A 24,910-nucleotide genomic window follows, 5' to 3' on the forward strand; every position below is an offset into this window, starting at 1 on the left:
AGAAAGAGCGTGAGCTTCATTCTCATGCTAGCAAGGGGGAGATTGGCCGGAATCCTTTCCAAAAATGGCCACTCTTCAATTTGTAGAGGGACGTGTAGAGGGGGTCTGGAATGCAGGCGAGGCAGGGGCCAGGAGGTGCCAGGTGACCTGCTCTGATGGCTTCTCTTGAGTTATTGTTCCATCTGTTACAGTAGGCAGCTGGTCAGACATGAGCAGGGCAGGAGAGGGCCCTCCCAACCAGGAATGTCAGGCGACCATCAGTGTTGGTCGGGTGGCTGTTAACTGTCTCTCTAAAATAATAATTGGTCACAGCCAACGCCAGGGAAAGGCAGCCTCCCAACAGACAGAAAAATCCTTCCCCATAAGACCTCAGGCATTGGGTGAGTGGGCTCAAGCATGTGTATTAAAAGGCAAAATTGTGGAGTGTAACTGGTCTATGGCCTCCTAGGGACATTTGACAGGTAAGGGAACAACGCCTCAGGTAAGCAGGCGCGCAACTCCAGTAAACACATAGCGCGTGCTCCTCCCAAGGGCTGGCAGCCACTGCACATGTGGACAGCCCACCCCAAGGGAAGAATCAGGGGAGAAGGCAGGCCAGACCCCGGAAGCGTGCCAACATATAAAACCCCAAGTCGAAGGTCAAACCACACACCTGTCCTTCAAGTCACCTGCTTGGCCCCCTTCCAAGCGTCCTTTCCTTCCTTTCATTCCTGCTCTAAAGCTTTTTAATAAATGTCACTCCTGCTCTAAAACTTGTCTCGGTCTCTTCTTCTGCCTTCTGCCCCTTGGTCGAATTCTTTCTTCTGAGGAGGTGAGAATTGCGGCTGCCGCAGACCTGTACGGATTTGCCACCGATCACAGGTTTTGGTGCCGTGTCACTTGGATAACTTCCACCACAAACACATCTGGTGAAGGGGCTGCGCCATCGCGGGTCGCCCCCAGATTAGAAATCAATCACAGTCAATCTTGCAGTGAGTCTTTAGCCAGGAGTAAGCTCTGGCCTCAAAGTAACCCGCCTGCTGGGGAAGGAATTCTGGAGATGCCTGGTTCGTCCCAGGATCTGGCCCCCAAAGCTTCTAGGAAATAGATGACCAGACAGGTGAGCATGGTGTGCACTCAGCAAGCATCCAGATAAACAAATGTGCACAGGGCCCGGGAGCTGCAGGTGGGAGAGGGAAGGCAGTAGGCTCACAGCTTGCTCCCAGGCTGGATTTCAAGATGAAAGGAAGCACATCTGTAGTTTGCTCAAAGCCATGTCTTGAGACTGGGGAGAAAGGAGGAAAGAAAGGCCGTGTTAAAACACAGTTCGAAGCTGAGCTGCTCGGTGACATAACGAGGCCTGTGCGACCACCCAGGAGGAGGTTTTTCAGGCTTCTCTGGGGTGGACATGGCCAAGCGGGGGTCACTTCAGTTGGCTGGGGACTTCGGGTTTTATTTTTGGTTTACACTGGCCTGGGATGGAACTGGGCAGTTCTAATGTGACTGGGTGTGTACTGGTGGCTTCACTCACCCAGGGCAGGCAGGCACCTGGAACCACGACTCAGAAAGAGGCAGGAAGGTGGAGTGAGAAGATGGAGCTATTAGGGGCGTGGCAGGGGCAGGTCAATCACCCTGAGGCTTCGGGGAGTTTCCTGGTCTCCAGAAGGGCAGTGTGCTCACCCTCCCCTGTGCATGGTGTTGTTAAGAGTGTTATCAGGAGTGTCTGCTGAGCTGTGACTTTGCCGTGCCATGCAAATACTCACAGGCAGCACTACTGTCAGGAAGATGGAGGCTGGGCCGGGAGGCTTGCTTTCAAGGCCACGAGTGTCAAACCCACAAACCGCAGAGCAGAACAGCCTTGGCCAAGCAGATGAGGAGGGCCTCATCCTCCATCTCCCGCCACCATCCTCTTCCCAACTGAAGTCAGAGGCGGGGAGGTGGGAAGTCCTGTCAGAGGCAGGGAGGTGGGACGCCCTGGGCCAGACAGATGATCCAAAGCCCTTGGTTTTAGGTACCATCTCTTCGATGTTTCTTGGCTGAGTAAACCAGCCCAATCTCTTTTTTATAAAATGAGACCACAGGTTGGCCTGAGAATGGAGAGGAGTGAGGAATCTAGCTGTTCTGGGGCCCCGGGCTGTTCAGAATCCATTGTAAACCATTGGAAAGCAGGTTTGTGTATTTGTTTAACTGCATCTTGTGGCTGGTCATTGTCTCTGTCTAAGCTCTCACCCAGCCCGGCTGCCTTCCCTGAGTCCCCACCTGACCTGCACAACTGCTGAGGACGAAAGCCTGTGTCCCCGACATGCACGGGAGAGCAGTGTCTTCCCAGGCCCTAGAGTGCCTGGCTGTGTGGGCAGCCCCAGGGCACAGTCTTCTAAAGAACCTCATTGAGGGTCGGGGGTCGGGGGAGTGGGCTCCAGGGTCCACTCCCAACCTTACAGCTTTTACCTCCGGAATCCCCAGGCTTCTGTCAGGAGGGTGCCTGAGTGGCTTACAACAAGAACTTTGCCTATCCCTTTACTGTTCGCAAAACACCATCTCAAAAATCAGTCAACATGGATTCCAAGTTTTGCCTTAGGCCACACTGGATGGAGTTGCCCCCGGCTGGAAGACAGGACCTTTATCCCCAGTGCCACAGGAGGATTCCCCTGTGTGGCCTCCCCACCGGCTGTGCCCTAAGATCAGTGCTGTGTGCACAGCCCAGCAGAGGAGCCCAGGAGACTCCAGCAGGCAGGGAGCTGCTGCCCCAGGAGCACATTCCAGCATCTGGAAACACCTCCCACTGCAGCTGCAGGGGAAGTGCCTGGAAGAGAAGGAAAAGAAAGAGGAGGAGGAGGAAGAGGAGGAGGAGGAGGAAGAGGAGGAGGAGGAGGAGGAAGAGGAGGAGGGTCGTGCCCACGCTCATGGCAAGCGTCACCCTGGAGCTTTCTGTCTCAGTCCAAGCACATCCACCTGCCCTTCCTCACTGCATTCTCCCAGGGGCCCCTGGCTGCACACAGGCATGGCCTGCATTTGCATAGAGGGTCTGGGCCCTTGGTGGAGGGCCTGGCCTGCCCCATCTTGGGTCCTGGCCCAGTGTTGTGGCTGCCAACCTGCCCTCAGAGCTTCACGGGAACCAAGGGCTCAGGCTCTGAGTGGAGTCCGGGTGGGCCTGGGCAGCCTTTGCCGGAGAGGCTCCTTCCTGACATGGCTCTGCTGGAGGAGAAAGTGTCAGTTCCTCTCTCAGGCCCTGTAGACAGGTGTCCAGGTAGACAGGAAGTTCCAGAGGTGATTTTAGCTCAGTCTGTTACTTTTCTGCTGGCAGGCTGGCTTTACTGTGGTTGTCCCTGTGGCCGTTGGCTGATGTTGCTGAAATTCCAGGGCTCTGGAGTGTCCACATGTCCACGGGATGGGAAGCCTGTTGCAGACCAGCCACCATGTCCCTGCGGCTCAGGACCACGCTCCTGAAGCCCAGAGTCCTGCCCTGGGAGCAGGTCTCAGTCAGGACTGACTCCTGAGAAGAATGAGAGGGGAAGTGCCTCCAGGCCGGGATGCCAGCTATAGCAGCGCCCTCCAGCAACGTCCTGGAGGAAGCACCTCATTCGTGCCAAACTCACTGATTCTAATTCGTCATCGTGATTCTTCACAATGAAGAAAAACTCCAAGCCAGTGCCTTCCTGGGGCATGGCAGGCCTCCCTCTGGTCTGAGCAGGCAGCTGTGCCCAGACCTGGGCTCTTCCGAAGGCATGTGACTCCCTTGCACACAGCCGGGTTCTGCTTGATGCTTCTTCACGGTGGAGGCAGAGAGGTTCCCGGGGTTACCCCATCGTCGATAATTTCATCGTTGATACTTTTTTTTTTTTCAGATGGAGTCTTGCTCTGTTGCCCAGGCTCGTGGCGCGATCTCGGCCACTGCACTGCGCTGCAACCTCCGCCTCCTGGGCCACGAGTGTCAAACCCACAAACCGCAGAGCAGAACAGCCTTGTTCTGCTGCCTCAGCAGCCACCATGATTCTCCTGCCTCAGCCTCCCGAGTAGCTGGGATGACAGGCACCCACCATCATGCCTGGCTAACTTTTTTGTAGTTTTGTAGAGATGGGGTTTCGCCATGTTGGCCAGGCTGGTCTTGAACGCCTGACCTCAGATGATCCACCTGCCTCAGCCTCCCAAAGTGCTGGAATTACAGGCGTGAGCCACTGTTTCCAGCCTTTGTTGATACTTTCTAAACCATCCCTCCTAAGCCCGGGTGGCTTGCTGCCTGCAGGGCTCCTGACCTCAGTGGCTGACTCCCCACACCCGACTCCAGCCTGTCCTCCCTGCCTGCTTACCTGGCCGGGTTTTTCCCATTTCGATCCCTGCAGAGGACAAATTAAAGTGAAGATTGTCACCTGTGGGTGGCTTGGGAGAATGAGAGGCAGAGAGGGTCAAAGTGATTGAATTCTGGGTTCAGGAAAAAGGGATATGGGTAATGTGTAAAAGAAGAAAAAAATACAGATGATTTGGTTAAAAGCAATTCGATCAAACACAAATTACTCAAAAGGATTTCTTGGCAGAAATGAAAGATTATTTGAACAATAATGTTCGACAATATCCAATCTCTATCTGGTAATTATCTGGATTTATCCAACCATAGGGTATTATTTCTAAATACCTAAATTAGGGGAATACCTAAGAAAAATGTTATCTTGACTTTTTTGTTGTTGTTGAGATGGAGTCTCCCTCTCTCACCCAGGCTGGAGTGCAGTGGCGTGATCTCAGCTCATTGCAACCTTTGTCTCCCGGTTTTAAGCAATTCTCCTGCCTCAGCCTCCTGAGTAGCTTGGATTACAGGCGCCCGCCACCACACCTGGTTAACTTTTGTATTTTTAGTATAGATAGGGCTTCACCATATTGCCCAGGCTAGTCTCAAACTCCTGACCTCAGGTGATCCGCCCACCTCGGCCTCCCAAAGTGCTAGGATTACAGGACCGCACCCAGCCAATTGACAAATTATTTTTAATTTTTTTTTTTTTTTTTTTTTAGACGGAGTCTCGCTCTGTCACCCAGGCTGGAGTACAGTGGTGCCATCTCGGCTCACTGCAAGCTCCGCCTCCCAGGTTCACACCATTCTCTTGCCTCAGCCTCCTGAGTAGCTGGAACTACAGGCGCCCGCCACCACGCCCGGCTAATTTTTTGTATTTTTAGTAGAGATGGGGTTTCACCGTGTTAGCCAGGATGGTCTCGATCTCCTGACCCCGTGATCTGCCCGCCTCGGCCTCCCAAAGCACTGGGATTACAGGCGTGAGCCACCGCACCGGCCTGTTTTTAATTTTTATTTATTTATTTATTTATTTAGAGATAGGGCCTTGCTCTGTCACCGAGGCTGGAGTGCAGTGGCACAACCATGGCTCACTGCAGCCTCGACACCCCTGGGCTCAGCTGATCCTCCCACCTTAGCTTCCTGAGTAGCTGGGATTACAGGCACATGCCGCCACAACCAGCTAATTTTTGTATTTTTTGTAGAGAGAGGGTTTCACAATGTTGCCCAAGCTGGTCTCAAACGCCTACACTCAAGCGATCCTCCCGTCTTGGCTTCCCAAAGTGCTGGGATTATAGGCGTGAGCCACCATGGCGGGCTGACAAATTAGCATATAAAATATGACTTAATTGTGGATTTTTATAGTTATGGACCCTAATGGGCATAATGAAAGTTATGTATGGAAGCACACCTCAGAGCAAAAATACTTAGAGTGAACCATGGTAATAAGGCTTCAGAGTCCTTTATTTATGTATTTATTTATTTGAGACGGCGTCTCACTCTGTTGTCCAGGCTGGAGTACAGTGGCACAATCACAGCTCACTGCAGCTTCGACTTCTCAGGTTCAATGGATCCTCCCGCTTCAGCCTCCTGAGTAGCTGGGACTACAAGTGTGCGCCACCATACCCGGCTAATTTTTTAAAAATGTTTTACAGAGATGGGGTCTCACCATGTTGCCCAGGCTGAGATTATTTTTATTAAAAAAAAAAAGATTGCAATATGAACTCTCTCCCTTCCTAAACAGATAATGCAGACTTTTTTCCTTTCAAATGAAGAGGTTTTATTGGAAGTTGCATAGAGAACACAGTCAGTCACGAGAGCAGAAGGAGCAGGTTCCAGGATTCTGGGGAGATAAGGGTCCAAGCTGAGAACTCCCCTGAGAAGTCTGTATGCAGACAGCCCCGGGTGATCCTGGCTGTCCAAGGGCTGAGGGCGGGTTGGGAAGGGCCCTCATCACCCCAGGGGCCAGCTCCCCACATAGCAGCTGAGTAGCACCCAGAGAACCCGGATCTTCACTCAAGGTGGCTGGCAGCAGAGCCACAGCCCAGGCCACCAAAGCCACCAGAGCCCCTGTGTGGCAAGGATCATGATGCGAGGGTGGTGAGTTGGTTGCTGTTCTCAGCAGGATCCTGGGTGTAAATGGCCATGCCTGTCCAGCACGGCTTATGGGGCTGAGCATGTGAGAACTTGTGTGGCCTGTGCCTGTGCAAACGCGTGTGCCCTGGGTATCACACCCAGAGCCCTGCTGTGTGAAGAAGCCTCAGTCATCACGTGTGAGCTCACAGTGGGCTGGTCATGGGGCCCCTTCCACATGGTGCACTGCTGCTGCAGGAATTGCTGTGTCTGCAAATTCTGGACATACCAGACCCTAAATAGAATGCTGGGAGCAGGCAGGTTACAGAAGCCTCTGAGTGCGGCAGCTCTATGGGAACTGGGGTGCTTCACTTACAAGTATTTGAGGTATTACAATGTATCCAATTTTTTTTTTTTTTTTTTTTGAGACGGAGTCTTGCTCTGTCACCCAGGCTGGAGGGCAGTGGTGCAATCTCGGCTCACTGCGACCTCTGCCTCCCGGGTTCAAGCAATTCTCCTGCCTCAGCCTCCTGAGTACCTGGGATTACAGGCGCCTGCCACCGTGCCCAACTAATTTTTTTCTTTCTTTCTTTCTTTTTTAGTCAGAGTTTCGCTCTTGTTCCCAGGCTGGAGTGCAATGGCGCCATCTTGGCCCACTGCAACCTCTGCCTCCTGGGTTCAAGCAATTCTCCTGCCTCAGCCTCCCGAGTAGCTGGAATTACAGGCATGCACCACCACACCTGGCTAATTTTGTATTTTTAGTAGAGATGGGGTTTCTCCATGTTGGTCAGGTTGGTCTTGAACTCCTGACCTCAGGTGATCTGCCCACCTCAGCCTCCCAAAGTACTGGGATTACAGGTGTGAGCCACCGTGCCTGGCCAATTTTTGTATTTTTAGTGGAGACGGGGTTTTACCATCTCGGCCAGGCTGGTCTTGAACCCCTGATCTCGTGATCCACCCACCTAGGCCTCCTAAAGTGCTGGGATTACAGGCATGAGCCACCGCACCCGGCCTGTTTATTTTGTTTGTTTGTTTAACTCCCCCTGCACCTCCGCCAAAAAAAAAAAAATAAAAGAAAAAGAAAAACTAACCTGTAACTCTGAAGTGTCTGGTAGCCAGGTGCGGTGGCTCGCACCTGTAATCCCAGCACTTTGGGAGGTCGAGGTGGGCAGATCATTTGAGGTCAGGAGTTTGAAACCAGCCTGACCAACATGGTGAAACCCTGTCTCTACTAAAAATACAATTACCTGGGCATGGTGGCGCACACCTGTAATCCCAGCTACTTGGGAGGCTGAGGCAGAATTGCTTGAGTTCGGGAGGCAGATGTTGCAATGAGCAGAGATTGCACTCCAGCCTAGGTGACAGAGCGATACTCTGGCTCAAAAAAAATAAAATAATAAAGTCTCTTGCCTTTGGAGTCGGGCATGAAATCTTAATCCGTGAGTTTTCTACCTGGGCCATGGTGGGCCACTGACCACCTTCGGCCTGGATGAAGGCTGGCCCCCAGAGGGTTGCCAAGCTTTGCCAGTGCTCCCTGGCCTGCGTGGGGCCTGGCTGAGGGCGAGGGCAACAGGAATGCATTGTGTCTGGGGCTGAGCAGGACTTGCGGTGCCTGGGCCCTTTGAGCCTGGTGACTCCTGAGTGTGACTCCTGAGTCTGACCCCATCACCCGTGTGGGCTGACACCAGCACCTTCCACGCTGTGCTTCTGTGTTTGCCGCCGGTCTCCAGGAGTGGCCGCTTCTCCATCAAATAATACTCCAGTCTTCACGCCCATGGCTTCCCCCAGACCCCAGCCCAGCCCGAGAACAAACGCTCCATTTTCCCTCCCTTACAGCTGCGGTGGTTGCCACCACATGGAAGGCCCAGAGGAAGGGAGGTCTGGAGTGGCCTGGAGCTGTGGCCTCCCCAGGCTACGGCCAGACCCACCAGGAGGAAGCCCCTTGCAGGCTCTAAGGTTAACGCCGCCAAACCAAGTCCTGATCCTGAGAGGCTGGCTCAGGATGAGGATGGGCGGTGGTGTCATGCACAGGCACCTGAGGTCCCTGGCTGCTGTGGCACGGAGAGGCCCCCACGGAAGGACTCCGCAGGTGCTGGAGCTCGCTCCCTGCATGGACAGCTGCAGCCTGGGCAGGGATAGGGGAGCAAAGCTGCAGGCCCGGCTCATCATGGAAATTCAGACCGGTGAGCCATGGAAGGACATCGCCAAGTCCATGTAGGGTGAGCTGGGGACAGCATGGGGAGTGGGAGGGGGGACAGTGGGGAGAGGGGAGAGCGGGGTGAGCTGGGTACAGCATGGGGAGGGGGACAGTGGGGAGGGGGGAGAGCGGGGGGAGCCTGGGGACAGCATGGGGAGTGGTGGGGGTGGGGGAAGGTGGAGGGAGGGCAGTGCATGGAGGACAGTGGAAGAGGGAGGCAGTGGTGACAGTGGAGAGGGAAGACAGTGGGGAGGTAGAAGGGAGGAGGGTAGGACAGTCCAGCCCCCATTGGCAGGGGCAGCTGGGGAGAGCAGGCCCCGCCTTTGTGTGCCCCAGGGCCTGGGCCTGCCTGGTTAAGAGTCTGCACACTCCTAGAGCTGGAGCTTCTCAATGTCGCTCTTGGAAGGTGACCCCACACTCCGCTGGGGATAATGCAGGGGGCCCAGGGGTCCTCCCTGGGAAAAGTGTGCTGTGCCCCGCCATAGGGTTCGTGGCAGAAGCCCCTCCCCTGAGCTCAGGCCTCACCTCCGGCCACTGAAGACAAGGAGATGCAGAGAGGAGGCCTCTGGAGTCTTGCCCCTTACCCCTGCACCCCTGCAGCACAGGCAGGGTGTGGTGGCCGTCTTGGAGGCACCCGGGCCTGGACAGCTATTCCAAAGCCATAGCTGCCCTCCCCAGGGTGGGTCGCTTGGTCTTAGGAGCGTCCAAGCTGCAGAGCCCAGTAGACAGAACCTGGATCCAGCGCCTCACTTTACAGGAGGGGAAACTGAGGCACAAGCATGTGCTACCTGGCTCGGGGGCCAGCAGGCAGCCTTTTCCCTTCTGTCACCTGCCCTAGGGATGGACCGCCCCATCTGCCAGCCTTGACTGGAGCCTCCCTGGTGGATGTTTACCGCACACCTACTACGTGCAGGGTGGTGCAGCTGGCGAGAGTCCCCTCTCCTGTTCCACAGACCGGCAAGGTTCCCCTGAGCCCTGGGGCAGGCAGGACCTTTGGCTGGAGGTGGGTGTGCAGGGCAGGGTCTCTGAGGGGAGACCTCAGACTGTGGACTTGCGGGTGGACGCTTCTCTCTGTCGGGGCCTCCCGTGTCCAGAAGATGTTGAACAGCATCTGAGGCTTCCACCCGCTGAAGCCGAGGAACAGCCCCCAGCTGTGACAACCCAAAATGCCTCCAGACCTGGCCCCATGTCCTCCAGGGGGACGGAACAGCCTGGTGTAGGGCAGGGTCCCCTGAGCAGGAGTGGCACCTGTTCCTGCTCATACCACAGACAGCTGAGCTGGCTGTGCCCAAGACTCCCTGCACCCACCAAAGCCACTGGATACAGGCACGATTTGCATCTTACTCTCTTAAGTCAGGTTTCTGGAGATGGCTGTCCCAACACTGGAATCCAGCCTGTCTACAGCAAGGGAGAAAGAGGAAGCTGATGTTGGGCTGAGAGGGGCAGGCGTTACAGGGTAGGTCTCACAAATGCCGACGTGACAGGCAGGGCTTCTGAGGGGGCTTCAGGGACCAGCAGGGAGGCGAGACTCAGGCACTGACCCGCAGAGAGCATGGCCTTGGACGCACAGTGGTGACAGCAGCCTCCAAGTGTCCCCCGTGCCCTCAGGCATGAGGGACAGAAGCTTCTGGGGCCCCTGCCTCTTTCCTGCCCATCCCCTGGTGAAGGAAAATCGCCTCTGATAGGAAAAGCTGGGGCCAGACTCCCTCTCCCTGCATTAGTGTCGCCGTCCTGCCTGTGAGGTCCCCGGGCCCAGGGCACCTCCCGGGACACCCGAGTGGTGATGCACGACCCTCAGTCCTGGGGCTTAGGACCTCTGGGTGCCCCCGCAGGTCCGTCCTGGAGTCACTTCACAGTCACTGCAAATGGGCACCACAGCCCACTTTCCAACGCCCCAACTTTCCACACCCAAGCAGCTCCTTGTCCCTGCCAATCAATGCCCGGTGATGACAACTGTTCTTTTATAAACACCACACATCTTCTAATGCTTTCATGTTAAAAGCGGGAGTGGATCCCACATTCACCTAAAGGCTCAGGTAGGGACTTTTTTTGCAGAAAACCAATTTCTTGTAACAAGTACTGGAACCTCATTGTAGCCTTGAGTCCTCACTCCTCCTTTTGTTCTAAGTCTGGGTCTGAGAAGTGCAGGCCTCACACAGCTGTCAGTTCCAAGTGACCAGGGCTGTAACAGGTCCTGGCTGACCCTGGGAATGTCAGGGGATTCTGGGAAGTAAGAAGGAGGGGCATTTGCCCATAGCCCCGGGGCAGACAATGTGTCCCGAGGGCCAGGCCAGGCTGTCTACTCCATCTCCCTGGGGCGAGTGCACCTCGGGTCACCTGGCAGCATCCTTTCCAGCCCTTCTGGAGACAGTCAGCAGCTGATTCATTCCGGGAACCAGCATGGCAGGTGCCGGGGCTGGTCAGGGCCCAGGGCTGTACCCCTCAGCACTGGACCACCCCGTCTCCTGCCCCCTTGGGACTGTTGGGCTCCGAGGAGCCTGGCGCTGGGGTCGGAGGTCTTCATCAGGACCCTGGGGACCCTCAGGGTTGAGTGGGGTGGGGCTGCTGAGGGTGGTGGGGGCCGGGGGAGCCACCTCTCACTTTGGGGATCATTGCTGAGGTGAGAAGGGGGACTGTGGCCACCAGGTGATACCCTCTCCATGCACCTAACTGCTGCTCAGGACTCTGGGGACCGTGTTGCCAGGCCTGCGCCTGCTGGACATGGGCGTCTCCAGCCCTGCTGGGCTGTGTCTTTCTCGCTGCAGAGCCAAGAGCCCCGGCAGCCCCTGTAGCCAAACACGGCCCTGGCACAGCCTTTCTTCTGGCAAACTCCACCCGTGCGTCTTCCAAAGGTGGCTCAACTTTTCACCGGAACAGCCGAGGGACATTGTTCCTCCCAGGGAATGTGGCAGAGGACACTGAAGCCCAGTGGGGACTTCCGGGGGCTCCTCGGTGTGGACGGCTAACTACACTTGTGGGCACACACATGAGTGGGTCCTGTGGCTTCCGGGCGGGAGGCAGGTTGGGAGCGTTCAGGGCAGAAGAGCTCCTGTGACCGTGTCCCCTGCAAACAGCCTCGCGTGACCCCAGCAGCACAGAGGCCGTCCTGGAAGAGCGGACGCCCAGTCTTCTTTTTAAACCAAACACCCTTCGGTCTCAGGATCCCGCATCCCACGGGAAGACCCACAGTGGGTCTGGGGTACTGGGAAGAGCCTGGTGCTGAATCCCGCACGCTCCGGGTAGAGACAGCCCATCACCAGTCCCTTCCTGTGGGTGACTGGCAGTGACAGCGGGGAGCCCACTCACTTGGGGACATTTGCCTTTGGTGTGGATGACGCTTTTGAAAGGGCCTCATTCCAGGATCACAGCCAACGCCAGCAGGTTCTCCCTGGGATCCAGCAGTGGTCCTTCTGGGGGCTGCCCCAAGTGCTCCCCTGCAGTCTGGGAGTCCATGCTCAAGCTGCCACCTGGCCTCTCACGGTGGCGTCTCACGGAAGCCCTGTCCACGCTCTGGGCGGTGAGCTCCGGTCAAACGTGGCCTTGGAAGGGAGATGAAGGAGAGAGAGGAACATGAAGCACCCCTTTCCCTTCTGCAGGCAGACGTCGGTTTTCTCAGGACTCAGCTTGGTGGAAACACAGGGTTTAAAGCTTCGGAAACAGCGGCCTGTTCAGGGAACTTCGACTGGCTCCGACGGGAACAGGCCGGCCGTGTTTTTAGCAAGCTGTGTTCCTGCATCATCTGGATGGGCCGACCTGGCCTTGGAAGTGCGTTTCTGCGGTCGGCCATCAGCTCGCCTGGGTCCACAGGTGACACCACAGCATGGTGGCTGCGCACACCCTGAGCCCACTGTCCCCGGGGAACCCCTTCTCCTGGGCGGCAAACAGGGCTCGGAGGGGATCCTGGCCCATGGCGGGGAGCCCGGCTGGCCTGCCTGCGAAGCCCAGCGCCCCTTGCAGCCAGAGGCACCTGCCAGGTGGGTGACCGTGTGTGGACATTTTTCCCAAATTGGACAGGAATCCACATCTATGTTGCTCCTGGAACTGAGGGGCAAACGAGAGCTGCAGGAGTGGCTGCCACAGAGAGAAGCTGGCGGTGCCCGGACCCACTCCGGACACCCCACAGGGGCTGGGCGCCGGTGCCTGGACCCGCCCTGGACACCCCACGGGGGCTGGGCGCCGGTGCCTGGACCCACTCCGGACACCCCATGGGGGCTGGGCGCCGGTGCCTGGACCCGCCCTGGACACCCTGGTCGGGGCTGGGCACTGGGGAGCGCGGGGGTCTAGCACTCGTCTCTCTGCTTCTGTGCATGTTGGGAAAATCCCATCGCAGTGTGACAAAGTGCACACCAGGATGCCATCCCATGCCAAGGGGAGGCTGCAGGAAATGCCATGCGCACCATCGAGGGCTTCGCTGCGTCTCCAGGAACAACAGTTGTTCAAGGCAAGGGACTTTTGCCTTTTGAAAGTTTTTTGAAACTCTGAAAGACAGCTGGCAGCCAAGCCTCCCCTGGGCCCCCCAGAACCTGCTGCTTCCCACGGCAAACTCACCAGTGAGCTCTGTCTCCGGACTCACAGCCCAGGCACCTGGAGGACAAACCAAAATGGTCAGGGCAGCAGCGATGGGGGGTGTCCCTAAAGCCCCTGGTGTTCCTGAGCTCTCAGCAGCCCCCTAAACACCCTACTTGGAAGTCTCCCCAAGGCTCCCAGCTCCAGGCGGGGAAAACACTCACAGATGAGGGGCTCCCCAGGCCACGTGGCTTTTGAGAAAGATCCTCTTAAAGGGGTACGTGCCTGGGAAGCACTTAAAATGCTGTGACCTGGATCTGGGGCCCTTCTGCGGCCCAGCCAGCAGTGGCATCATGGCCGTGGAAGATGTTTCTGGGATGACTGAGATTGGCCACAAATGGGAAAGCCAGGGGCAGCCCACAGGAGCCGCCCCTACTCCGTGGCCACTGCGCCTGCACTCCATTGACTGCCACCCTTGGGGGGTTCTGGGAAGAGCCCCCCCCGTCATCAGGACCATCACTGCAGCCAACGTTCAGGGCTTCCTGCGCCACTGCGTCCTGCTGCTGTGTCTTACATGGCTGAAACACAGACCTCCGGGCTCTGTCGCGGAGCTGGCCAGAGTCACAGACCCACAGGGCAGGAGTGCTCAAGGCAGCCTCAGCGGCTTCCCTGGAAATGACCACCACCCCGGCCTCTACATGCAGAAGCCACCCTGCCCACCCGACCTGCAGGGCAGACCTCGCAGCGCCCTTCTGGCTTGGCAGTGTCAGGAATGTCAGAGATGCTGGGTTTCAAAACCACTTTGTGGGATAGTTCGGGTTGCTAAGCCTCATGAATATTAGTGCTACCACAACAAAGTTCCTTTGTTTTTTTGGGGGGGACAGAGTCTTGCTCTGTCGCCCAGGCTGGAGTGTAGTGGCGTGATCTCGGCTCACTGCAAGCCCCGCCTCCCGGGTTCACGCCATTCTCCTGCCTCAGCCTCATGAGTAGCTGGGACTACAGGCGCCTGCCACACGCCCGGCTAATTTTTTGTATTTTTAGTAGAGACGGGGTTTCACCGTGTTAGCCAGGATGGTCTCGATCTCCTGATCTCGTGATCCACTCGCCTCGGCCTCCCAAAGTGCTGGGATTACAGGCGTGAGCCACCGTGCCCAGCCTACCACAATAAAGTTTCAAGCTAAATCAGTATCAGTGAGGGAAGTTAAAGCAGGCAAACATTCACACCAACAGGACAAACACTAACATCCACAATATGGGGCCGTCTCTACCTGCATAGCTGTGTTGGAGGCATCGGTCCCTGCACACCCAGCCTATGGCCACCGCCACGACCACAAGCAGGCACAGGACAGCCAGGATGCTCCACGTGGCCGCGTTTTTCTCGCCGGTACTGACTGGATTCTCTGTGATCTTGTCTCTCTCTCCGATGTCATTTCCTACAAGAAAGAGGAAAATAACCCGACTTAAAGGATCTTAGAGGAAAAGGGTCTTTTTTTTCATCCTTGAGTAGAAAGTGTTGCAAGGAAGTATTTATTCCAGAGAACTTCCCTGACATGATTTTGAGGTTTTAAAAACACCAAACTGATGAGATGAGGGTTTTCTCTTACAGAGGGGCTTCATTTCCTGCAGGGATCTTGTTCCTCCTCGTCCTACCTGGGAGGGGCGATAACCCCAACCACAGCCAGGGGACCATAGGGCTGGGTATGGTGGGAAGCACAGGTTCTTACTGGATTTTTTTTTTCTTTTTTTTTGAGGCAGAGTCTTGCTCTGTTGCCCACGCTGGAGTGCAGTGGCGTGATCTTGGCTCACTGCAAGCTCTGCCTCCTGGGTTCACGCCATTCTCCTGCCTCAGCCTCCCGAGTAGCTGGGACTACAGGTGCCCACCACCATGCCTAGCTAATTTTTTGTATTTTTTTAGTAGAGACGGAGTTTCACCATGTTATCCAGGATGGTCTCGATCTCCTGACCTTGTGATCCACCCACCTCGGCCTCCCAAAATGCTGGGATTACAGGCATGAGTCACCGCGTCCGGCCCTTACTGGATTTTTAAAAATCAAAGTGAGGTCAGGCACGGTGGCTCACGCCTGTAATCCCAGCACTTTGAGAGGCCAAGGCGGGTGGATCACCTGGGGTTGGGAATTTGAGACACACCTGGCCAACATGCAGAAACCTTGTCTCTACTAAAAATACAAAATTAGCCAGGTGTGGTGGTGCATGCCTGTAATCCCAGCTACTCGGGAGGCTGAGGCAGAATTGCTTGAACCCGGGAGGCAGAGGTTGCGGTGAGCCGAGATCGTGCCATTGTACTCCAGCCTGGGCAACAAGAGTGAAATTCCGTCTCAAAAAAAAAAAAAAAAAAAAAAGGTGAAAGCCACATAACATAAAATTAACCATTTCATTTTATTTATTGAGCTTTTGAGACAGGGTCTTGCTGTGTTGCCCAGGCTGAAGTGCAGCGGTGTGATCATAGGTCACCGCAGCCTCGACCTCCTGGGCTCAATCAGTTCTCCCACCTCGGCCTCCCAAGTAGCCGGGACTGCAGGCGTGCACCACCAGGCCTGGCTAATTTTTTTTTTGGTAGAGATGAGATCTCACTATATTGCTCTGGTTGGTCTTAGGGCTCAAGTGATCCTCTTGCCTCAGCCTCCTAAGTAGCTGCAACTATAGGTGTGCACCACCTTGCCCAGCCAAAATGAGCCACTTTATGCTTTATTTATTTATTTACTTTTTTGAGACACAGTCTTCCTCTGTCGCCCACTCTGGAGTGTAGTGGTGCGGTCTCGGCTCACTGCAGCCTCCGCCTCCCAGGTTCCAGCAATTCTCCTGCCTCAGCCTCCCGGGTAGCTGGGATTACAGGCACATGCTACCACACCTGGCTAATTTTTGTATGTTTAGTAGAGAAGGGGTTTCGCCATGTTGTCTAGGCTGGTCTCAAATTCCTGACCTCAGATGATCCACCCACCTCAGCCTCCCGAAGTGCTAGGATCAGGTGTGAGCCACCCCTCCCGGCCCAAAATGAACCATTTTAAAGTGAACAATTCAGGGTGCCAGTGCCATCATAACCACCACCTAATTCCAGGACCTGTAACCCCCAAAAGGGAACCTTGTGTCCATGAGCAGTCACTCCCCACTCTTCCCTGCCGTCTGCTGTCTTTCTGGGCAGTTCATCGGGGAGAATGGTCGTGTCCATTTCAGATGGACTGTGAGCCCGTGTCAGCAGCAAGAAGGAGCAGATCCAAATGAGGGGGTCTCAGAACAGCTGGGGCCTCTAATTTTTCTCTTAAATTTTGTTCTCATTTAGTGCTTCATGGCACTCCCTTCAAATTTCACTTTTAAAACTCTAGCTTGGACGTGGTGGCTCACACCTGTAATCTCAGCACTTTGGGAGGCTTAGGCAGGAGCATCGCTTGTGTCCAGGAGCTTGAATCTAGCCTGGGCAACACAGTGAGGCCCCATCGCTACAAATAATCAAAATTAGCCAGGCGAGGTGCATGTGCCTGTAGTCCCAGATACTCAGGAGGCTGAGGCAGGAGAATTGCTGTCCTCCTGCACCAGAAGCCTCCAGTTGCTTTGTGTCTCAGTGGCTCACCCTATTCTGGACACTTTGCATAAACAGAGTCCCACAGGCTTGTCCTCAGGTGTCTGGCTCTGTCACTCGCATAATGGCCTTGAGGTTCTCCACGCCGCAGCGTGCGTCAGGACAGCGGCCTCCTTCCTTTTTCAGGCTAATTCTCCCCTGCACGCATGGATCACGTTTGGTGCATCCGTCCACCCACGAGGAACACTCGGGTGGTTCCTACCTTCTGGCTGCCATGAACATTCACGGACAGGCATTTGTTTGAGTCCCTGTTCTGAATCCTCTGGCCTATATCGCTAGGAGAGAACTGCTGGGTCCTGCAGTGCTTCCACGCTGAGCTTTTCGAGGAACTGCCACAACGTTCCCCATGGCAGCTGCGCCCTTCTGCTTTTCCGCCACGATGCACAAAGCTAACAATGCCTCTGGTCTCTGTGTGCAGTGCCCTTCAGAGAGCCGTCCTCACCGGCAAACAAGCAGCGGCATCCCCCTGGGAGCTTGTTCTGAATGCCCGGCGCGTCTCCAAACACACTTGGAGAAACCACCTGGACGGTGCTCAACCTTGAACCTCTGAAGCTTTTAGACACTGTCCCGATGCCAGGTGCCAGCCCAGAGCTTCAGGTGCAATGGGTCTGGGCATGGGGGCTTTCATAGGCTGCCCAGATGACCCCACTGTGTGGCCGGGGTTGAGACGACAGCCCTGGGAGAAGCTTCTGCTGCCACCTGGGCTGCTCTGCGGGGAGTATGCTGGCTGGAAGGCAGTTATCAGAGGCTGCTTTGGGAGCAGCCCCTCATCCCGCTGCATGCAGCTCAGACACTCTGAATGTTGAGTCAGAAGGGCTGAGCCCTGATTTCAAGAAGGAGAAGGTCCGGCTCTGCCGGGGATCCTGGCGGCCAGGGTGGACTTCGAGGGTATGACCTGTGCAGGCTTCTGGGGTTGAGCTCAGAAAGGCCGGCAGGAGGTGCAATGCTTGTGGTCACTGTCTGGAATTCTTAATGCTCCCGAAACAAGGAGCCCTGCATTCTTGCTTTGCCCAGGGCCACACGGTGAGTCCTGCTGGCAGCCCCTTTCCTGCAGCCAGCAGGGCCCCAGGACCCCTCCTCGATCATCTCCTGCCTCCATCTTCTGCCTCTCATCCTGACACAGGAGATGGGGACACAAATGGGGAGGGCCTGTGTCCTCTACAAAGGAGTCCCCGTAGAGGAACCCCTTCCACAGGGCACCCCTTCCACAGGGAGGGGCTGGGCCAGCAGCCGTGCGCAGTGGGATTCCCGTGTCTGGGGGCTTCAGTCTTCTCAGGGGACACACGCCCAAGAGGCAGGGAGCTTGGGTGGGGGCTGCACAGCTGTGGGCTTCTGTTCTGGGCTGCTGCTGCCTAGTGCTGCGGCTTCTGAAGTGTTACCCAGCCTCAGAGTTCAGCCCTCATCTGTAAAGTAGGTTTAAGAAAACCGACTCCAGGTGAAGAAAATGGAGCAATATGCACTGGGCACGGCACCCATTCCTGTTCCCAGAGACCGCGGTGGTTCTCACTGTGCGGCATGTGCCTCTCACCTCCCCTCCCTTCCAACCACCTTTCGGGTGCTGAGCCGCGTCGAAGGGACTTTTTGTCTCCTACCTCAGAGGCTCTCCCAAGCCAGCCCTGGCCCCACTGTCGGGCACAGCTCAGCACGCAGGCGCCGGGACCTTACCTGTCTGGCTGCCGACAGTCAGGTTCTGCTGCAGAAGCACGTTCTCTATGCAGCAGCCAATGTTCACGCTGGGGGTCCGTGCGATCCTCAGCACGCTGACCACGTCATACAAGCCCCGCATGTTCAAGAAGACGGTGTCATTCTGCAGAGCCTGGTCCAGCAGGCTGTTGTCCGTCTTATTGATCCAGTACACGTTGGGCCTGGGGTAGCCGTTTATGGATGTACACGTGAAGGTGAGCTCATCCTGGGAGGGGCTGTGGGGGGCGCTGACGACGGGCACGCTGAAGTTTGCTGCAGGGGAGGGAAACAGATTGTGAGAGATGCCAGACCCTGCTGGTCAAGAAACAGAGGGTACACGGTGCCAAGGCTGGGTCAGAGGGGAGGCGGCCCATTGTGCCCCGACATGGGTGACAGGCCAGGACCAGGGCTGTGGTCCGAGCAGCAGGCTCCGCCCTGTCCTGCCCAAGAGTCATCCCCCAAGCCAGTCCCAGTAGCCAGGGACCGCTGAGCCTGTCGGGCAGTGACTGGCACCCACAGACCCCCCACTCCACAGCCGTCGGCTGTGCCGGGACCCCCTCATTTGGATCTGGTCATTCTCACTGCTGACACAGGGGCTCACAGTCCATCTGAAATGGACACAGCTGTTCTCCCCAATGAACTGCCCAGAGCTCCTTGGTTGCCTCTTATTTTTCTCTTAAATTTTGTTCTCATTTAGTGCTTTATAGAGTTCCCTTCAAATTTCACTTTTAAAACTCTAGTTTGGATGTGGTGGCTCACGCCTGTAATCACAGCACTTTGGGAGGGTGAGGCAGGAGGATCGCTTGTGTCCAGGAGTTTGAGACCAGCCTGGGCAACATAGTGAGACCCCATTTCTACAAATAATCAAAATTAGCCAGGCGAGGTGGCATGTGCCTGTAGTCCCAGATACTCAGGAGGCTGAAGCAGGAGAATTGCTTGAGCTCAGGAGGTCAAGGCTGCAGCGTGATCACGCTACTGCACTCCAGCCTGGGCAACAGTGAGACCCTGTCTCAAAAAACAAACTAATTGGCCAGGCGCGGTGGCTCACACCTGTAATCCCAGCACTTTGGGAGGCTGAGGCGGGCGGATCACGAGGCCAGGAATTTGAGACCAGCCTGGCCAACATGGTGAAACCCTGTCTCTACTAAAAATACAAAAATTAGCTGGGTGTGGTGGCACGCGCCTGTAGTCCCAGCTACTCGGGAGGCTGTGGAGAATTGCTTGAACCCAGGAGGCGGGGGTTGCGGTGAGCCAAGATTGTGCCACTGCACTGCAGCCTGGGTGACAGAGCGAGACTCCGTCTCAAAAAACAAAAACAAAAACAAAAGCTAACTAACTCAAGAGGCAAAGACAGCAAGGGTAGGAGCTCTTCCGGGAAACCAAGCAGCCGCAGGTCATGCACTAAGGATTTTTCAGCTGTTTAGTTTCCCTCGAAGTTAGACAGAAGCCTGATAACACAGATGAGAATTTTCTTCACTGGAAGAAACAGTGAATGAGCCAGGGAGGGGGTTTCATGAACACTTGTCCACGATGTGAGGCTGGGATGGACCTAGCTCTCCCCGCCTCGATGGTCCTACCTGCCACATGCAGTGTAACCTCAACGCTCAAAACCTCCTGGAATCCCAGGGATTGGCTCAACACCAGGCAGTGAAACTTCTGCTCGTCCTGGGGGGTGACGTTGAACAAGCGCAGGGAGAAGTCGCCCCGCAGCATGCCGGCCGGTGACATCAGGGCTCGGTTCCGGTAGCGGCTGTCCACGTTTTCCAAGGAGCTGTTCTGTGGGATGTGGTAGGTCACCACGGTTTTCGACTCACTGGTTTGCCAATATACGTAAACATCATTTAAATCAAAACGGCTTCCTTCAGGGCAAGCGCAGCTGAGCTCCACGTCGCTGCCTACCATCGCTCTGACTTCCTTCTCCTGAGTATCTGCAATGGCCCAAAAGGTGCAAAATCTGTTTTCGGAGGCTGATGCCCAGGCCATGAAGCTACTCTATGGGGCAGACTTTGGGTTTCAAGCCTCAAACACCAACGGTGGCTCAGAATTTATTAACAAGGCACATGTAGGAATGCAGTCAAACTTGAAAAACGCAGACATTTCATGGTGAGGTCCATGTCAGTCTTTGGCTTCGATGACACACTCCTGTTATGTAAGGGGCTGCCATGGGGAGGAGCGGCTGGATGGGGCCTGGCCGCTCAGTGTTATTTTTGTTACTCAGCACTACTTTTACTACTTCTCGGGAGTCTATAATTAATGCACAATAAAAAGTTCTTTAAGGGAAAGGCATTTAAGGGAAAAGAATTTCTCAGCAATTACATTATATTGCTGCTCACTTGCAGTAGGAAAGCTGTCACAAATGTGGCAGACACAGGGTAGCTTTACTGTTTGTGCAGCTACGTAAATGCCTGTGGGAAAATCTTTTTTTTTGAGATGGAGTCTTGCTCCGTCACCCAGGCTGGGGTGCAATGGCGTGATCTCAGCTCACTGCAACCCCCGACTCTGGGGTTCACGCCATTCTCCTGCCTCACCCTCCCAAGTAGCTGGGATTACAGGTGCCCGCCACCATGCCCAGCTAATTTTTTGTATTTTTAGTAGAGATCGGGCTTCACTATGTTGGCCAGCCTGGTCTCGAACTCCTGACCTCAGGTGATCCACCCGCCTTGGCCTCCCAAAGTCCTGGGATTACAGGAGTGAGCCACTGCACCTGGCACCTGCAGGAAAATCTGTGTGTGTCCCCTGCCCCCAAAGCCCTCTGGGCTGGAAGGCTTGGCAAGGTTTCAGGTTTGTGCTGCGGTGCTTCGTCCTTATTCCTGGCTCTTCCAGAGGCTGGTGGCTCTTAGGGCTCAGCAGGGCTGCTGCCTGGGACAGGGAGACCAGGGGACCCAGGAAGCCCTGGCTCAGAGGAACTGCATTCTGCCCGCAACAAAGACGGAGTCAAACAAGAACTCCGGAGTTTGCAGAAGTGTTTCCCTTTAAGGAAACGCTTCTATCCTGTGCAGCAACCTAGGTTTAGGGTCCAACTGTCTCCAAAGGACCACTTGAGAAGCAAGAAGGAGCCTGGTGAGGCTGCTCCCAGTGCCCTGCGGCCAGCAGTCCACACAGCCGGAGAGCCCATCTCTGAGCTGGGCGCCCCATGGCAAAGCACCCCCTGAACTTACCAGCTCGAAGGCTGCTGAAGAGCAGGAAGAGCAGTCCAGGACTGGAAAAAACAACCAGAAAGGCAGGTGAGGCGGGGCCACCAGGGAGTTACCTGTATCTTCCAAACAGGAACAGGCTGGTTCCCATGAGCAGGAGGTAGTTAAGCCCATCACAGAAATGTGAAGGCAGAGCCAGGAGCCTGCCTGCCTCTGTTCTCCATGGGAATTCGGGGTCCGGGGCCAGGACCACCACCCTCCTGCCCAGCACAGCAAGTCCGAGGGGCTGGCAGCCTCTCACCACTCTCTAGCTCTCGCGGTAACAAATCCCCAGAAACACAGTGATGCTGGCGTGAGGATGAAGGGGAGCGAGGGACGCCAGTGAGGCTGGTCTAGCCTTCCTGGGGACAGATGCCAAGAAGTTGTAGGAAATCAGAAAAAAAAAAAAAAAAAAAAGCTTTCAGGGCACATATAGTAGGAGTGTCACTTAAAATGCTGGGGAGACGGAGAACATCAGGCGTGCCCGTGACAGGGTCAGGTGAGTGACGGGACAGCCCTGTGCGGAACGCGGATCATTTTGAAACCAAACCTGAGCTCCTCCTGTTTCAGATCCTGCTGCAGCTGGTGCCCCTGCCTCGGGCAGCAAATTCCCCTCGTGACTCCAATGCCCCTGCCATCTTGGGTCTGGGAGCCTTTGCACCCTGCACGCCACAGGCTCGCCACCTCCTCCCGCCAGCCCCCAGGATGCCTTCCCCACGTGGGGGCCCTTAGTGGCCGGGACCACTTTGGTAGCAGTGCTTACCCCAGCCCCCCAAACCATCAGTTTCTGGGGCCAGCTCCCCATGAAGCAAGAGCCCCAGGAGCAGGGACATCTCCTTCTCTGATGTCCCTGCACCTCCAAGGTCTGGGAGACGCTCATCCCTCTTCTCTGTGGCCTCTGCCTGGGAAAGCTTGGGGGCTTTGTAAGTCAAAGGTTGGTCTTGTGGGAACCTCCCAGTGGGCTGTCCCTGAGCCCTGGAGCCACAGAAACCCCTGCCCCACCCACGATGGCTGTCATCTGAGTCTGCATGGAGGTGTGTCTGTGCCAAGTGAGCACACATGCACCAAGGCGGCCCCTGGCCACCAGGGGCTCTTGAAGTCTGCAGGCGGCCCTTCCTCTCTCTCCCACTCCCCCTGTTGGGGCCACCATTCTGGCTGGCAAGATGGCTGTGATGGCCTCCAGCAGGCCCCCTGCCTCCACCCTTAGCCCCTTCAAGCATTTCCCCAGAGCCACCATCTAAACGACAGCTGTGAGAACTCCTCTGTGCCCCCATTTGTCTCCCACAGTGCCCATATTCATCACCAGCCCACAAGGCCCCTCCTGTCTATGGAGGCCTCCTCAGGACATCTGGGGGCTTCCTGGGCCAGGGTGGGGGGTGCCTGCTCCAGGCTGTTTCTGGCTTGTCCCCTCCCTGGGTGCTGCCTAAGCAGCGGCCTCTGTGTCCTTTCCTTGGACCCTCAGCACCCCTGCATCTAACCTACCCCCACCCCGAGCTTGCCTCAAGACCCAGCATGGACAGGGCCGCCTACCTGAAGGTGTGGGTGGCGGAGGGCTAAGACATTTGGGAGGGCTATGACATTCCGGGACCTTTAAATTCTTTCTCTCTAGGGCAGGATCATAACTGCATACACTTCTAATGGGGAGGGGACCTGGGGAGTGTGACTCCGGTGTGGCCCAGCTCTGAGCTGTGCGGGAGGCATCCCTGGGGTCAGGGGCCTCACAGGTTCACCCAGGGGAGCACAGGCTGCGGACCCTACAACGTGGGTTGCGAAGAGTATATTTTGGATATTTTCGCAAAAATCCAGGAGGAAGCTGTCACTCCTGGTTCAGGCAGCCCCGCCTTCCCCAGTGTGGATCGGCTGCCGGGCTGCGGGGAATCCCACGTGTGTGGGGGAGGGCGTGTCCGCAGACCGTGGGCACCAGCTGGCCTTGGAGAGCGCTCGGCCGGTCACCTCCCTCCTTCTCCCTTCTTCTAGGAAATCAGCAGTGCCAGGGAGTGGAAGGGGCAGCGCCCGTGCCCCGGCGTGCAGGGTGCGCCCGCCTTCCCTCCCTCCTTCCAGCGTTCGCGGTCCTCCTTCCCTGGCAGGGACCCCGCCCCCGAGCCCGCCCCCGCACGGCTGTGCGTCCTGCCATGGGTCCCGGTGCCAGGCCCCGCCGCCCACTGCCGTCCACGCCCCGCCGGCCGCCCCGGCGCCTCCGCCGCCCGCTCCTCGGACCCGCACTGCCAGCCCGGCACCTCCAGGCGAGCCCCGCAGGCCCCGCGTCCGAGCCGAGCTGGGGACGCGCGGGCCGAGCCACCCCGCCCCTGACCGCGGCGCCTCCGCTCCTTCCCCGGCTCACCTGCCCAGCCGCATGGTGCGGGCGGAGACCTCGGGCCGCGGAGACCTCGGGGCGCGGAGACCTCGGGGCGCGGAGAACTTGGGCCGCGGGAGACCTCGGAGAGGAGCAACCTCGGGGCGCGGGAGATCGGCTCTAACTGCGCTCCCGCCGCGCCCGAGGCTCTGAGCGCCCAGCGCGCGGTGTGCTGGAGGCAGCCGTGTCCCCGCCCCGTCCCCGCCCCGCCCCCGGCCTGGCTCCTCTGGCGACCGAGACCGCCCCGGGACAGGAGGCGGGGCGCTGCGCGGCGGCTCCGGAAAGTTCGGCTCTGCCCAGGCGTGTGCCCGTCGGCCGGAGGCGGGACAGAGGCAGGTCGGCCTGTCCGCCTGGACGCGGACCTGGGCGCCGTAGGTGCCCTGGGAAGCGCAGGGGTGGGGGGTACCCGGCAGGAAGGTGGCCAGGGGTGCTGCGGGTGCCGGCGCAGCGAGGGAGGGCACCGTGGGAGGCAAGGGCCGTTCCCCGCGCCGCGCACAATGCGCCGGTCCTGCGGCCCTCCCCGAGCAGGAGTCCGGGGACCCAGGCCCCAAGGCTGGGAGAGCGCCAGGCCCCTGGCCGGCTGCGCTCCGATGATCTCCAGGACTTAAGGCGAGTGAGCTCAGCGACTGCTGAGGAATGAATGACTGAATGAACGCATGCATGAATGGAAGGAGGGAGGGAAAGTGGGCGGGCTCTACCCTCTGGGCCAGCCCCAGCCCGCCCCCACCTAGCCTTGCTCCCCTAGCCTTCTAGGGGTGTGAAGGGCGCTGGCGCAGCCTCTTTGCTTAACACTGGCTCTGAGGATCCCCCGCCGAGAAACCGAGGCAGGCTTGCGGCTCTGGGCTCGTCAGCCTTGGCAGTGGCGTCTGGCCTGGAGTCTGGGGCAGCTGGTTTGGGAAAGGCTGCACCACGCAACCGAGGGTGGGACCCAGAGTCCCTGCTCCTTCCCCACCGCACCCAGCCCACCCCGCCCTCCCTCCCTGATCCCTGCAAGCCAGGTGAGGCCCAGGGGGGACGTGACTCCCTTTCTGCAGAGGCACCTCCGGAAGGGCCTGGGTGAGGCTGCTAGACAGGG

General features: G+C 57.0%; 1 protein-coding gene across 12 annotated transcripts, besides 8 other annotated features; it reads right to left on the reverse strand.

Annotated features, from left to right (window-relative positions):
* Positions 1-23,963, reverse strand: ICOSLG (inducible T cell costimulator ligand). Of its 12 annotated transcripts, XM_047440730.1 has the most exons (8): positions 23,824-23,963; positions 21,745-21,844; positions 21,468-21,508; positions 19,887-20,237; positions 18,292-18,582; positions 14,300-14,464; positions 13,074-13,109; positions 39-1,264 (listed from the first exon to the last, which is right to left on the reverse strand). In XM_047440730.1, the coding sequence occupies exons 4-8, from the start codon at positions 20,209-20,211 to the stop codon at positions 1,077-1,079; spliced, it is 1,005 nt and encodes a 334-aa protein (XP_047296686.1). In that variant the 5' UTR covers positions 20,212-20,237; positions 21,468-21,508; positions 21,745-21,844; positions 23,824-23,963; the 3' UTR covers positions 39-1,076. The 12 variants fall into 12 exon arrangements, with proteins under 12 accessions (XP_011527816.1, XP_011527818.1, XP_047296685.1 ...); XM_011529514.4 differs by lacking the exon at positions 21,745-21,844 and having other exon boundaries at positions 1-1,264; NM_001283052.2 differs by lacking the exons at positions 39-1,264; positions 21,745-21,844 and adding an exon at positions 6,011-12,064 and having other exon boundaries at positions 19,887-20,085.
* Positions 5,860-6,361: an enhancer, noted in NCBI's record as "H3K4me1 hESC enhancer chr21:45642723-45643224 (GRCh37/hg19 assembly coordinates)". NCBI's record gives its function as "activates a minimal SCP1, AML or CMV promoter by ChIP-STARR-seq in naive H9 embryonic stem cells {active_cell/tissue: H9 hESC(naive)}" and the evidence as "EXISTENCE:reporter gene assay evidence [ECO:0000049][PMID:30033119]".
* Positions 6,362-6,861: an enhancer, noted in NCBI's record as "H3K4me1 hESC enhancer chr21:45643225-45643724 (GRCh37/hg19 assembly coordinates)". NCBI's record gives its function as "activates a minimal SCP1, AML or CMV promoter by ChIP-STARR-seq in naive H9 embryonic stem cells {active_cell/tissue: H9 hESC(naive)}" and the evidence as "EXISTENCE:reporter gene assay evidence [ECO:0000049][PMID:30033119]".
* Positions 8,819-9,319: an enhancer, noted in NCBI's record as "H3K4me1 hESC enhancer chr21:45645682-45646182 (GRCh37/hg19 assembly coordinates)". NCBI's record gives its function as "activates a minimal SCP1, AML or CMV promoter by ChIP-STARR-seq in naive H9 embryonic stem cells {active_cell/tissue: H9 hESC(naive)}" and the evidence as "EXISTENCE:reporter gene assay evidence [ECO:0000049][PMID:30033119]".
* Positions 9,320-9,820: an enhancer, noted in NCBI's record as "H3K4me1 hESC enhancer chr21:45646183-45646683 (GRCh37/hg19 assembly coordinates)". NCBI's record gives its function as "activates a minimal SCP1, AML or CMV promoter by ChIP-STARR-seq in primed H9 embryonic stem cells {active_cell/tissue: H9 hESC(primed)}" and the evidence as "EXISTENCE:reporter gene assay evidence [ECO:0000049][PMID:30033119]".
* Positions 22,440-23,218: an enhancer, noted in NCBI's record as "H3K4me1 hESC enhancer chr21:45659303-45660081 (GRCh37/hg19 assembly coordinates)". NCBI's record gives its function as "activates a minimal SCP1, AML or CMV promoter by ChIP-STARR-seq in naive H9 embryonic stem cells {active_cell/tissue: H9 hESC(naive)}" and the evidence as "EXISTENCE:reporter gene assay evidence [ECO:0000049][PMID:30033119]".
* Positions 23,774-24,689: a transcriptional cis regulatory region, noted in NCBI's record as "chr21:45660637-45661552 region (GRCh37/hg19 assembly coordinates) targeted for CRISPR interference". NCBI's record gives its function as "positively regulates ICOSLG gene expression in anti-CD40- and anti-IgM-stimulated BJAB lymphoma cells {active_cell/tissue: BJAB(+anti-IgM and anti-CD40 for 4hr)}" and the evidence as "EXISTENCE:mutant phenotype evidence [ECO:0000015][PMID:33828297]".
* Positions 23,774-24,698: a transcriptional cis regulatory region, noted in NCBI's record as "chr21:45660637-45661561 region (GRCh37/hg19 assembly coordinates) targeted for CRISPR interference". NCBI's record gives its function as "positively regulates ICOSLG gene expression in THP-1 monocytic cells {active_cell/tissue: THP-1}" and the evidence as "EXISTENCE:mutant phenotype evidence [ECO:0000015][PMID:33828297]".
* Positions 23,774-24,773: a transcriptional cis regulatory region, noted in NCBI's record as "chr21:45660637-45661636 region (GRCh37/hg19 assembly coordinates) targeted for CRISPR interference". NCBI's record gives its function as "positively regulates ICOSLG and IFNGR2 gene expression in GM12878 lymphoblastoid cells {active_cell/tissue: GM12878}" and the evidence as "EXISTENCE:mutant phenotype evidence [ECO:0000015][PMID:33828297]".

This window comes from Homo sapiens, chromosome 21, assembly GCF_000001405.40.
Source record: "Homo sapiens chromosome 21, GRCh38.p14 Primary Assembly".
In the NCBI taxonomy this organism is placed as follows: domain Eukaryota; kingdom Metazoa; phylum Chordata; class Mammalia; order Primates; family Hominidae; genus Homo; species Homo sapiens.